The sequence below is a fragment of the Homo sapiens genome, chromosome 10, assembly GCF_000001405.40.
Source record: "Homo sapiens chromosome 10, GRCh38.p14 Primary Assembly".
Taxonomy (NCBI): Eukaryota; Metazoa; Chordata; class Mammalia; order Primates; family Hominidae; genus Homo; species Homo sapiens.
The window spans coordinates 126,606,771-126,621,291 of record NC_000010.11 but is presented as its reverse complement, the minus strand read 5'-3'; the positions used below and the strand labels follow the sequence as shown (position 1 = coordinate 126,621,291).

Here is a 14,521-nt window from a genome sequence, read left to right as displayed (position 1 = left end):
TGAGAAATATCCAACCTCACTAAAATGTAAATTAATTCACAATTTATAAGTAAAATCTAAGTTTATATGTTGAAACTGAATATTTCCAGTGGTTATGTAAAGTCGTAGAGTCCACTGGGAAAACAGAATTCAACAGAGGCAAAACAACTATATACTTGAAGATGTTCATAGCAGTATTATCTATTCTAAGAAAAATCAAAAGCAACCTAAAAGTTTAATAGCAGGGAAAAGGTTATATAAATTTTGGTAATATGCTTAATAAAATATTACATTCATTTAAAATGGAAGTTATGAAGAGGTTGCAGTAATATAAAACATGCTATAATTCTTATGTCAAATTAAAAAACAGTGACAAACTATGCATATAAAATAAAGACCAGGCAGAAATACACAAAAATCCATAGTTGTTGAGCTAGTTGGAACTATAGATCATCCTCCCTTCCATTTACTGAAATTTATGAAGTTTTTTTATGGCTTCTATAAATTTAAAACCAAACAAAATGAAAACAAATGAATAGCAGTGCACCTTTCTAGCTTTTTTTTTTTTTCTAGCCCCCACTGACCAGTAAAAATGATTCTGGATTTGTTGACATTTTTGTCCTCTCTCCCACCCTCCAAGGAGGGTCTTCTATTTTTTTCTGGCTTCTAAGATGGAAAATAAGATAGTGGAGTAAAGGAGAAGGTGCCAAGAAATAATGTTCAAGAAATACAAATAAAAGTTTCAAATTATTTTGAAATTCCTTTAGCATTAATGAATGACATTCTTTTAAACAAGACTGTGTCCTAAGGATGAATCACATGAGTGACAATTGATAACGTGAATTTTAATATTTTAAAAAATTGATTAAGGCCAAAAACGCCAGAGTAATCAGGACAGTGTGGAATTAGTATAAGGACAGACTTGAGAGCCCAGCCACAGACTTGCAGGTGTAGTCACCCGGTGTGTGGCACAGGGGCCACAGCAATGACGCAGGGGGAAAATGGTCCTGACTCAGTTGGAAATTTGTATAAAAGTTTGCTTGCAGATGGATTACTGACTTAAATGTAAAAGCTAAAACAATAAGGTTTTAGAAGATGGCATGGAAAAATATTTTCATGATTGTGGAATGGGAAAAACATAAGACACCATAAAGGAAAATGTTGCTGACTTGAACTGCTGTAAACTTTAATTAAAATTGAGGACTCTTGCTCATAAAAGACACCATGTAAAAAAATAAAAATGTGAGCCACAGAGTGTCAGAAGATAATTTATATCTATGATATATATTAGATAATAGATTATTGATTAATATAAAACAAAGGATTTGTATCCAACATCCAGAATATATCAGGAATTTCTAAAAATTAAAAAGAAAAAATGACTAGGTGCAGTGGTTCACGCCTGCAATCTTAGCACTTAAGGATGCTAAGGTGGGCGGATCCCAGGAGCTCGAGTCCAGCTTGGGCAACATGGCAAAACCCCGTCTCTACAGAAAAATATAAAGATTAGCTAGGCATGGTGGTGTGCACCTGTAGTTCCAGCTACTTAGAATGCTGAGTTGGGAGGGTCACTTGAGCCTGGGAGGCTGAGGCTGTAGTGAGCCTTGATTGCACCACTGTGCTCCAAACTCGGTGACAGAGCAAGACTGTCTCAAAAACAAAACATAAAAATGAAAAAGAAAAAAACAACCAAGTTTTTAAAAGTGCCAAACACTTGAACAGATTCTTAGTTAAGGAGGATATCTGATGACCAACACATTTATGAAAAGGTTCTCAAGATCATTAATCATGAAGGAAATGCAAATTAAAACTTTGATGAGTTATCACCCACCAGAAGGTAAAATGAAGTAGACGTTGTCAAGAGTTTATAAAGATTTGAAGCAGTTGACATGCTTATGCATTGCTTGAAGGAGTAAGAACTGGCGCAACTACTTGGGAAAACTGTTGAGCGGTCAGTGCTGAAGCTGAACTGATGCTCTATGCCAAGTGATTCAACACCCGTGTATATTCCTGACAGGAATACGTGCCTATGTGTCCTGGAGGGCGTGCATAAGACTATCCATGACAGTTATTCTGAATAGGCATTAATGAGAAACAAGCCAAATGTCCATGGAAAGTGAAATGGATAAATGTATTGTTACAGTGAAAAGGAACAAAGCACTGCCACACACAGCAAGATAGTGTGCACGGTGTTACGTAAAGAAAACCAGCGCAAAGAAGTATAAGGATAATGGATAATGGCCATTGTACTTGCTAAGGATAATGCCTTCCAGCTCCATCCATGTCCCTGCAAAAGACATGATCTCATTTTTTTTATGGCTGCATAGTATTCCATGGTGTATATGTACCACATTTTATTTATCCAGCCTACCGCTCATGGGCATTTAGGTTGATTCCATGTCTTTGCTACTGTGAATAGTGGCTCTATGCTGTATGCTTTTGAAACTGTATGCTTTCCTTTATACACAGTTTGAAACAGGGAAAGTGCAGCTCTGGTTTTGAGTGAAGTCAGAATGATTAATTTGAGGATGGGAACGAGGAGTGGAAGGCACAAGAGAGGCTCATACTTTTTAAAAGTCAGCATGGTGATTCCTCAATATGCTCACTTTGTACAAATTCCAAGCTATCCCTTTGTGATTTGTTTTTTTTTCTATATATGAATCATACTTCAGTAAAAGGAACTGAGGTCATTTGACTTACAGGAGAACAGGCTGGAGTGCTTGCTTACTGTCTTTAAGCAACTACAGGATTTTATTTAAAATAAGGAGGAAGAGGTTTAGCTTATTTCCAGGTAAGTGGGAGATCAAGCAAGTGTAAATTAAAGTAATACAGAGTTTGGCCAGGCAGAAAGAAGGACTTCTTGAGAATAAGGATGCTTCAAATATAACAGTATGTGGGGAGGCGGGAGGCCCCTGTCTTAGAGTGTTCAGTAAGGACACAGTGTCCTACACCAATGGTTGAGTTTCCATGTCAATGTCAGGGGCAAAGCCAGATAAAAACAGCATATCTTTTTGACTCTAAGATGCACATTTTGTCACATTTTAACATCTCTGAAATCGAGATGCATCATGCGGGCCATAGCACTTGACAGTTGATGGTAGTGTCTCTCTTTCTTAGGTCCAAAAAATAATGGTGCATCAATATAAGATTGTAAGATCAAAAGGCACCTTCAATTTGATGAAATATGGTAATAAAATTCCTTCCAGCTTGAAGATTCTCTTCTGAGCCTCATGGTGAGGGAGCCCTATTCCCTTAGGAAGGCATTTTCTATCCCTCCTGAGGGTTTGTTGCACAAGAGGGTCAGAAGGGGCCTCATCCATTATGGGCACTCAATAAATATTAAGCATCAGCCATGGCCCACAGCCAGCTCCCGATAAAAATTGGCATACGTTAACATTTATTGCTCATGGATCTTGTGACTGATGATCTCTCCCTCTCTCTTTCTCTCCGACTGTATAATCTATTCTCATAATGGCAAACACAAGGTAGGACAGAGGTAGAGCTCATGGGAGATGCTTTTTTTACTGTAGAGATAAACTGTGGGATGAGGTAGCAGATCAGCCTGGCAAATCTGATCTGAGAGAGGAGACCAGGACACAGACAAGGACATGGGCTTTCGTTTCAGAGCTCCTTGCCCTAGCAAAGACCTTGGAAGTTATTCCAGCAAATGAGACACAGTGGTGGAGAATGCTGCTCTTGCAGAGAATGAATTGAGGGGCACCTTGTGTCTGTGTGTGTCCACACCCAAAGACTGAACATTCACCTGTGATATGTACACCTGCTAAGAGGATTGAATCTGTGTGAGAGAAGCTGAGGATCCCAAGCCATAATGGCTCAACCTAGTGGTTTGGAAGAATCCAAGCCAGTCATTATGAGCGGGAAGGCACAGTATCCCTGAGCAGGTATTTAGGTCAGTGGTGTCATCTTGCTGTGGGACACATGACAGGCTGTGGTGTTCATTCTTGCCAAAACTGCAAGCAGAACTTTCTTTTCATTGGCCTCCTGGGGAGAAAACTGGAGATCAAGCTCTGCTCTTATCCTGCTCTGGTTGGAGACCAAATTGGACCAAACTCCTAAAATGTTTTCTCTGTTGGGGTGGGATGTGAGTGGGTACAGTAGTTTGGGAAAGCTAAAGAAAAAGCAAAGAAAATTCACCCCGCCACACAGAGAAATGTGTATATTTAATTATTCCCAATGTGTTTTTGCTCTGCTTCTCTTTGTGTTATGAGAAACAGGAAGAATTTTGTCTAGGTAGGAATTAAGTCAGTTTCATTTCCTGACTGCAAATGATGTCCGAGAGATTTGGCAGAAACACAGTCCAGGAATTTTTGTCTCCCGTTGTCTTTCAACTTAGATAACATAGCCCTGGTTAGAAGGGGAGGTGTGGGAAGCAGGAAGGCAGGTCACATATCAATGTTGCGGACCTACTTTGCTGGGGCACTGAAGGTCATGGGATCCCAGAGGGAAGACTTACTGTTATTTTTCTTCCTGCCTGAGATTCAGTTAGGAGGAGACAAGCAAAGAGCAAAGATTAAAAGATTGTGCTCTTCAAGTGGCATGAATTGCCACAAGCTTGGCTTTAATGGTGAATGGCCATTAATTAAGGAGATGGATTGTATAGACCAGAAAGATGAAGCTCAAATAGCCAAAAGCCCTGCCTCTGACCTCCAGAGTTAAGTTAGTAGACAAAGAGCCACCATGTTGCTGACCAAGCTGCTCATGTCTCATGGCTTTCCTCTGTGCCCGTGTCAGCATCTATTAGGCGTCTCTGACTCTCGAAATCTTCCCCAGGCCCAGCTCACATTCCACCTCCTGCTGAAACAAACAAGTGTCAACTGGAGCTATTTGGTAGCAATGCTCTCTGGAAGATTCAATGGGGTAGGGAGAATCATATTTTGAATAATTAATTGCCGTACTTCTCTCTTACCTTCTACCTTTATGCTCATCAAATCCTCCGGTGAGCCCTGAAAACCTTTCTCCTAGGACAGCTAGACATGACTCACCCATTGCTTGTCGGAAGAGGGCCACTGCAGAGAGGGAAGCATAGATGGTAGTACACTCTTGATTATTATGTTCAATAAATACGAGGCAGATGGATGTGGAGGCACATTTGCAGAACCAGTTTATTCCACACCTAGAACAGATAAAAGACTCACACTCTCGGAATTAAGAGATCCTACTCCAACAAGAAGTGCTGGGGTCTTGGGTGGTGGGGGGCCTGTGTATCTCTGGTCAATGGTCCAGCAGAAATGATGCGCATTTGTGCCTCAAGGCAGTTCTCAGCTCCACTTCTAGCCATTGCAGGGGACACGCACATGGTTAATAGTACAAGCCACTCACAAATCCCCTAGACCTTGGACACCAGTGAAGGTGATGGTGGCCTGATGGGAAGGCTCCAGTAAGTGGCCAAATTGGAAATAGATGGAAACTGTTTGGGGAGCCCATGAAGCTACTACAGTGAGGGATCATAGGATATATACACAGCCTGATCTTGAGCCCGTTTGGACTTTTCTGTGTCTCTCTACTCCCATAATGCCTTTCCCCATCTCTTATGGTGAGTATGACCATGATCTGAGCATAGGTGTTATCCCTCCTAGTCAGGTAGAGATGGCATCTCTTACTCATTTTTGGTCCCTACAATGCCTTACACGTCGTAACTACTGAAAAAAAGATGTTTGCTGAATAACTGAAAGAAAGCTTAGGGGGGTAAAACATAACCATTTGATTAGAGAATAAAATATAAGAAAATTAAAAGTATGAGTTGAATGTGATCATTGTGTTAAGATTTTGTATTTTTATAGCCTTGCTTCAAAGGCATCTTTTTTTCATAGATAATGGCTACTGAAGTCATATTATGAAATATTACTAACAAGTAAAATAACTTGGTGTAAGATACCTATTCAGTGTTCTCTATATCCCATTCAACAGAAGAGATGTCCTTTGCTGGTTTTGGGTATCCAAGACCTCACATCTGGGATAACTTGGGGTAGGTCTTTGTAGAAGTGGCCTCCAATGAATTATGCATCTCTGTAGCCACACCCTTGGGTAGTTCCTCCCCGCTGACCCTGGACTGGGTCATGTGACTTGCTTTAGGCAAAAGGATCTTAACAAATAGGATGCAGGCAGAGGCTTGACAGGTTTGGTGAGGTAGGGCGCATCCTCTCTAATTTCTGGAAACCTTTGAGCCTCCATCTGAATAACCTCAGCCCAGCCTCCGTGGAGGATGAGAAAACACTAAGAGAGCTCCAGCATCCCAGCCGAGGACCCAGGCATGGAAGCAAGGCCACCTGGAACCATCTAGCCTCAGTCAAGCCAGCCAGAACAGAAGCAGCAGCCAGCTAACGTACAAAATGATGAGAAATAATAAACATATGTCATTTCAGCACAGAGTCTTGAAGAACTTTGTTATGCTGTAAGTCCTAGTTGATATACAACTGAACCCAATAGCGGCATAGAGAAAAGAGTATTTCTACTGCTATATTTCACAGATAATCTCCCATGTTATCCAAATATGTAAATTTATTGAACAGAAGCTAATACTCTGTGTCATGCCTTCTCAAGGGATGATGTCCTTTGGAGTCATCGAGCAACGCCCCTCTCTATTCACTGCTGTTCTTCGAGTTTGATGAACCTTCCCTAGCGTTGAAAGGCTGAGCTAAGCATAGCAGAAATAAATGGAGGAGGATTTCCCCTGGACTGGGAACCACCTTAAGCATGGTAGAACTGGTCTCCTCAACTAGATCCCCAGTGGCCCACATCCACCCCCACATGGCACCTCAATCCACAGGCAGGGGAAGGGCAGAGATCATCTGAATTTGTGTAGCTTCAGGATTGAGCAGAAGGTGATACATGTTGCCATAGGCTTTTTTTAATGCTTTTCTCTAACCCTGAATCCACTGAAGGCTGTTCTTGACCTTGGAATAGTCTGTAGAGTATTTATCACATTTTTATTCCCTTTGAATGTTTTTATTCCCTTAATGGTGACTAGACATTGTGATTCCTTTCTAACCCCGATGACCTTGAGTGAGTCATTTGATTTCTGTGGTTTTCTCTGTAAAGTGAGGATAAGACTTTACTTCCTTGGGAAAGTGGGCAGGGGGAGTCCTAGGGGCTCAGTGCAATGACCTTTAAGGTTTCACTCTGTCCCTGAAAGACCTCAGATTGTTCTCACCCTTGAACCACCTTGAAAATCACATTAACTTTTCCTGATATCCTGTTGCTGTTTTGGGGACCCACTACGCAAGGAGATGAGAAGTGTGATGAGGACATGTAACCCACCCATATTATCCATGAGGAATGTAACAGGCCTTTAAGGAAGGGGAGTGGCATCAGATTCATGGAGCCTCAGTTTTCTGGACTCCTTTGGAAGAGGACTGGGTGGCTATCCCCATTTCCTAAGCATGGGGTGAGGGTCAGGTCATCACAACCAGCCACTTCTTCCAGATTATCGCAGTTTCTGTTCAGATGTGAAACATTGAAAGCCTTGGCTCATGCATAAGCCAGAGGCTCAAATCCAGAGGGAAGGGTTTCCCTCGCCCTTCAGTCTTTACCTGAAGGTCACGTGCTTGTGAATTTGATTTATTCTAATTGAGAAGTTACTGGTTGCATCTTTAAAACAAGACCTAGCAAGCACTTGTTTGTCTGCAGTGATTGAAGAGGGATAAAGGCTCTGGGGAGGACTTGGCTTTTCAGTTTCTTCATATAGTTTTTCAGATTTGAATTGGTAATTGCACAGTTTTGCATCAGTGGATTAAAATAGTCATCTGAGGCCGGGCATGGTGGCTCATGCCTGTAATCCCAGCACTTTGGGAGGCCCAGGTGGGAGGATTGCTTGAGGCCAGGAGTTTGAGACAAGCCTGGGCAATATAGTCAGACCTTGTCTCTACAGAAAAAGAAAGAAACAAAAAGACTAGCTGGGTATGGTGGCACATGTCTGTAGTCCCAACTGCTCAGGAGACTGAGGTGGGGGAGGATTGCTTGATGCCAGGAGGTCAAGCCTCCGGTGGGCCAAGATCATGCCACTGCACTCCAACCTAGGTGGAGAGAGGAGACAGAGGAGACCCTGTCTCAAAAAAACAAAAACAAAACCAAAATAAAAGAAAATGGTCACCTGTAGCTTTGGTCTTTGAATACCATTTAACTTGTGGCAAAATACAGTATTGTAATTTTAGAGATAAGTCTAGAGCCCTTTAATATCATATACAAATTGTAAGAGGTATTTGCCTCCCTTTCAAGGTATAAATGAATATACTGCTTGAATATTAATAATAATTATATTCAAAGGTGCGTAAAATCCAACATTTGAATGCCTCACGAGACATCAGCCCCCAGAATTCAAGACCAACTCTGCTTTAGTATGTAACATGCCGTTGGAGCTGCGAGGGCGAGCATTTTTCCTATAAATGACTTGCATAACATTTCTAACAGGCTGGAAGCTGAAAAGTATTAATTGGCCGCTAATTTTTAACAGCTCATATGCAGCAACTTCTTTTTTTAGAAACACGTAAATGTTGGCAATCCTTCACAGAAGAGTTTTCAGAAATAGACCATTTTAGATATTTAATATTTCTCATCTGAGACATCCAGGTTTGGGTAGTTGAACCCCGAGGAGTGGAAATCATAGCTTACATGTTCTTGAACTGATTGGAAAACACGATAGTCCACCTGAGAGAGCTTGAGGCCTAACTTTGTGCTTTTCTACATAAAAAAGACACCCTTTTATCTGGCATCCCTAAGAATTCCAAACCTCTTCAGATGGCTGGCAAAATGGGCCATGGGTGATGGGGTACCTCAGCGGAGGGGGTCTGGAGACAAAGCCACTCTGATTAGCGTCTCTCACAGGGTGGCCACGTGTAGGGCCTTTTATCTTTCCTCCTTTCATGCCATCCAATAGAACTTTCTACAATGATGGAAATGTGTTAGATCTGTACTGTCCAATGTGGTAGCCACTGGCTGCATGTGACTTTTGAGCACTTGATTTTTTTTTTTATTTAAGACACAGTCTCACTTTGTCACCCAGGCTGGAGTGTGGTGGTGTGATCTCGGCTCACTGCAACCTCCACATCCCAAGTTCAAGCAATTCTCCTGCCTCAGCCACCCGAGTAGCTGGGATTACAGGTGCGCGCCTCCATGCGCAGCTAATTTTTGTATTTTTATTAGAGACAGGGTTTCACCATGTTGGTCAGGCTGGTCTTAAACTCCTGACTTCAAGTGATCTGTCCGCCGCAGCCTCCCAAAGTGCTGGGATTATAGGCGTGAGCCACAGCGTCTGGCCGACTCTTGAGCACTTGAAATATGACTAATGTGATTGAACCACTGAATGTTGAATTTCATTTTAATTAAAATTTAAAATAAATTTAAAGTTTAATAGTCACACATGGTTAGTGGTTACCATATTGGACAGGATAGGTCTAGAGCATGTGGGATTTGTGCCATTGTGAATTTGTTTGTACTCTCTATGCACCACTTGGGACCCAACTACTGTGTACCCTTGGAGCCCAGAGAGAACCCCAGAAATGGTGAGAGGCTGAGGAAGCAGTTCAAGAGCACCTTAAATCTCTGGCCACTGCAATAAGGAGTTTAGATAGAAGCCACCTGCAACAAAAATCCCCTCTTCTGGGAAATTTAAGAATGAGTGTGGAACCAAAATTTAATAATAATAATATTTGCTGACAAGAGTTTGAAGAAGTTAAAATCCTCATACACTGCTGGTGGAAATGTAAAATAGTGCAGCTGCCTTGGAAAATAATCTGGCAGCTCCTCCAAAGGTTAAATGTAGAATTACCATATGACCTGGCAACTCCATCCAAGAGAAACAAAAACATATGTTCACATAAAACTTGTACACAAATGTTCCAAATAGCAGCATTACTCCTAATAGCCAAAAAATGGGAACAGCTCAAATGTCCATCAACTGATAAACGGATCAATAAAATGTGGTCCATCTATACAACAGAATATTATCCGGCAATAAAAAGGAATGAAGTCCTGGCACATATTACTACATGGATGAATCTTGAGTACATTATGCTAAGGGAAGGAAAGAAGTCCGACACTAGGGACAATACATTTTGTAATCCATTTATACGAAATGTCCAGAATAGGGAAACCCATAGAGCCAGAAAGTAGATGAGTGTTGGCTTACAGTAAGGTGGCTGAGGGGGATAGGGAGGGAGTGGCTGCCATTGGGTACAGGATTTCTTTCTGGGGTGATGAAAATGTTCTAAAACTAGGTAGTAGTGATGGTTTAACAACTCCGAGAATATACTTAAAAACCATTGATTTATACACTTCAAATGGGTGAATTGTGTTGCATAACAAGTACATCTCAATCAAACTATTATGTCAAAAAACATAAATAAAAGACAAAAAAAGAAAGAAAAATAGAATATAGAGACTCCCACCCCACCTCCAGTTACAAGAAGTTGTGTCTGGGGAGTGTGGCCTGTAGGTGAGGTTTTCAGATGGGGCTTCATTTGAGCTCTCCTCTCTGCTAACTTGTTATGTGTCTGTTTTTCAATTATTAACTCTGAGTGGGTGAAGGTTTGATGATAGCTATAGATAAAAATAATGACTAAGGGAGGCAATTAATTTCCATTCTAAAGTGTTTTGAAGCATTTGATTTAATATGTGGAGAGAATGATAATGAATATTCATTTATCATTTATTCATCCAATGAATATTTAATAAATGCCTACTGTGTGCCCAGAATCCTTCCCAATCCTGGAGAATGGCAGAGTGCAGGAGAGAGGTGGTGTCTGCCTTCCCAGAGTGTTATCTGCATCTGAGGCATTGGATCTATGGTAGTCCATTAGTTGGAGGCCTGGAAGGAGACAGAGAACACACTCCAATTAGGTAGTTTTAGGAGAATTTGCAAATGGAACCATTTATGAGATGTGGGCAGGGAAAACTGCAGAGCCCTGGGGCTCCTGTCTGAGCCCTTTGCAGTCCTGCTGGAGGTGGACAGGGGAGGCCAGGTTATAGACGGTAGAGGGTCAGGAGGAGTTGCCTGTAGGAATTGGACTGAGCCAGCCCATAAAGGGCCCACCAGGCAGAGCCAGGGGATTAAACACCCCAACTGCCCTTCATCCTATATTCTACTGTGGTCCCCTTGGGTGAACCCCCTAGAAGCCAGAGGCCAGGGAGCCCTGTGGACATGGTCCATGCAGGTCAGCCTGTGAAGGATGAAGTGGATCTAGAGAGATGGAGAGGGGTCCACCAGAGAACAGGGGTCCAAGGGCACAGGGATACACAGCTAACCCAGACACTCATGATCCTGAGGGCCCCTGGAGGAGCTGACAGAGGGGTGATGTGTTCTGCCTGGAGGCTCCTGGGAAGGCTCCAGGTACAGGTCCAATGTGAGCGGCCTTAATAGGTCTACCCAGGCAAGAAGAACAATTCTGGGGAGATGCATATCCTCCTGATCTCATTACACTGGGAGTCAGATCACATCACACCCTTGCTCAGCATCTCCCATGCCTCACAGCTCTCTCAGAACAAACCCACAGTCCCCCTGCCCATGCAGAGCCACGTGGGCCATCACTGGCATCCCGTGCAGCATCTGGCTGGCTCCCTTGCCTCCTATTGTGTCATTCACAGGCTCCTTCTCCCTGCTCTAAGCCACTGCTCCTAAGGCCCTCCTGTCCCTCTTCTCCCACAATGCTCAACCCCATCATGCACCCTTGCCAACTTACTTCTTCATGTGGTTCACTGTCTGCTGCCCTTGGCAGAACCTGAGCACCGCAATTTGTCTGTTTTGCTTTGTTTCCCCAGTACCTGTTGATAGATAAGCACTGGCAATTAGATACTCAACAAACAGGGACTGAGAAAGCAGTGACAGCCAGCATCATTGAGGGCTTACTAGGGACCAGGTGTTGCATGAAATGATTCACATACCTTTTTTGTTTTTTGAGATGGAGTTTCACTCTTTTTGCCCAGGCTGGAGTGCAATGGCGCGATCTCGGCTCACTGCAACCTCTGCCTCCTAGGTTCAAGTGATTCTCTTGCCTCAGCATCCTGAGTAGCTGAGATTACAGATGCCCACCACCATGCCTGGCTAATTTTTGTATTTTTAACAGAGACGGGGTTTCATCATGTTGGCCAAGCTGGTCTTAAACTCCTGACCTCAGGTGATCTGCCCACCTTGGCCTCCCAAAGTGCTGGGATTACAGGCGTGAGCCACCACGCCTGGCCTGATTCACATACCTTATTTCATATTACCTCCTTTTACAACTGGATAAACTGAGGCAGGAAAGGATGAAATCTCTTGCCCAAGGCCATACAGCTTGTAAGTGGCAGGGACAGAATTTTTAAGCCAGTGGGTTTCTAAGTTTTTGGTCAGAACTCCTATATACTCTTTAAAATTATTGGAGGCCCCGAAGAGTTTTTGTTTACATAGGCTGCCTCTACCCATATGTGCTGAACTACAAATTAAAACTGGGGAAAAATCGAAGTATTAGTTTGTTGACTCATTTAAAATAACAATAGTAAATCCATTAAATGTTGACATAAATAGGATTATTTTTATTAAAAAATAACTATAATTTTCTAACAAAAACAGTATGAGAAGCCTGGCATTGTTTTACATTTCTACACATCTCTGTGATGTCTGGATTAATGAAAACAGCTGGATTTCATATCTGCTTCTGCATATAATCCATTGTGATGTGCTGTCTGGATTGAAATATATGAAGAAAATCAGACATCACTCAGGTATGTAGCTGGAAAAGGAGAAATAGTTTAATAGCTTTTTCAGATAATTGTGGATATTGTTCCTTGATACTACACCAAAACGAGTGGAATTTTCTTTTTTCATTTTATTTTGTGGTTAAGTGCATATATCGTAAAATATAACATGTTAACCATTTTTAAGTGAACAGTTCAGTGATATTAAATACATTCAGGCTAGGCATGGTGGCTCAAGCCTGTAATCCCAGCACTTTGGGAGGCTGAGGAGGGAAGATCGCTTGAGTCCAGGAGTTTGAGACCAGCCTGGGCAACATAGTGAGACCTCTTCTCTACAAAAAAATTAAACAAAATTACCCAGGCATGGTAGTGTGTGCCTGTAGTCCTAGCTATTTGGGAGGCTGAGATCGGAGGATCGCTTGAGCCCAGGAGGTCCAGGCTGCAGTGAGCCCTGATGGCACCACTGCACTCCAGCTTGGGCAACAGAGCAAGACCCTGTGTCCAAAAGAATACAAGTAAATAAATACATAAATAAGTTCATAATGTTGTGCAACATTGACCACCATCTATCCTCAGAACTGAACTCGTTTCGTCTTGGAAAACTAAAACTCTACATTCATGAAACAATTCCCCATTCCCTCTTTCCCCTGACGCCTGGCAACCACCATTTGACTTTCTATCTCATGATTTTCACTATTCTAAGTACTTCATGTAAGTGGAATCATACGGTATTTGTCCTTTTGGGACTGGCTTATTTCCTGTAACATAATAGACATGTAATACTTTCTTAAAAGTTATGAGGTGAATATGAAACCGTATGAGTAAACTCTGACTTTGTTACCTTAAAATTCATTGATGGATCTAATACTTTGGATGGATCTTTTATCCATGTATGATTTTATAACATCCTGCACTGGTTATTTGGAAAATATTGATTCTTTGAGTTATACCCATCTTCTAAATATTGGTACATTTTATTTTACAATATGAAAAGAATTCATTGATATTACCACTGAACTCGTCAGAAAAGTCCCTAATTATTGAGAATCTGTCAGGATAAAGGAGGCACGCAGAAGTTCTCAAAATTCTAATTTAAAATTCAAATTTGATCATTGATAACCCATATTATCAGTTGTTTTCCTTAAAGTGACAGGCTCATTGTGTTCATCATGAAAAAATGTCTGCCAAATACTCATGCCTGAGAAACCATAGTTTGTTAGTATTTCTTTCAAGTTAAAGTGGTGTTTCATGAAAACAGTGGCTAGTTAGATTTGCAACTACAATGAGTAACAATTGTACAAATGATTTTCAACACAGCCAACGCATCACAGCTAATGTGAGTTTCCCATTTTGTTATGCAGGGTATTAAAATGAAGGGTACTCAATGGTAGCTATATAATAAAACACTTTTCCTGGCTTCCTCAGGAACATTGTTGTTTAAGTGTATAAGTAATACTGTGTTAAAGAGTGTGATGACTGATAGCAGAGTTGGGCGCCCCTGCCTTCATTCATGTTATGGAGCCAGCTGCTTCACCCATCATGACTTCCGCACCCATCTGTGCAAATGGTAACTCCATGGCAAAGGCAAATCACAACTTGATAATATTACAGAAATAATTTCAGTTCTTAAGGATCATGGAAATCCCTATCTTTTGAGAATGACAGTTTTAAGAGATGCCTACTTTTAGCAGTTTTCTCTTTAAGGCTTATGGGTCATTGCCATGACTCTTCTGATGGCTATTGTCTGATGTCATGAGGATCATCAGTTACATCTAATGACTGGTTCCTGGTTATGTTCAGGTCCAGCAATGCAGGAATAATCCACAGCATTTGTGTGAATAGTCCAAAATACCCCAAC

At 41.7% G+C, this 14,521-nt stretch overlaps 1 protein-coding gene and 1 long non-coding RNA gene across 7 annotated transcripts in view; one reads left to right on the top strand and one right to left on the bottom strand.

The window, feature by feature from the left end:
• The window catches only part of C10orf90 (chromosome 10 open reading frame 90), a 245,697-nt gene that overhangs the window by 49,402 nt on the left and 181,774 nt on the right, over positions 1 to 14,521 (top strand). The gene's annotated exons all lie outside the window — the stretch shown is intronic.
• LOC105378548 (uncharacterized) lies at positions 10,720 to 14,443 on the bottom strand. 2 transcript variants are annotated; one of them, XR_001747638.2, is made up of 3 exons: positions 13,505 to 14,443; positions 11,673 to 11,754; positions 10,720 to 10,801 (listed from the first exon to the last, which is right to left on the bottom strand). It is a non-coding gene; the product is annotated as an uncharacterized LOC105378548 (long non-coding RNA). The 2 variants fall into 2 exon arrangements; XR_007062334.1 differs by having other exon boundaries at positions 13,674 to 13,739.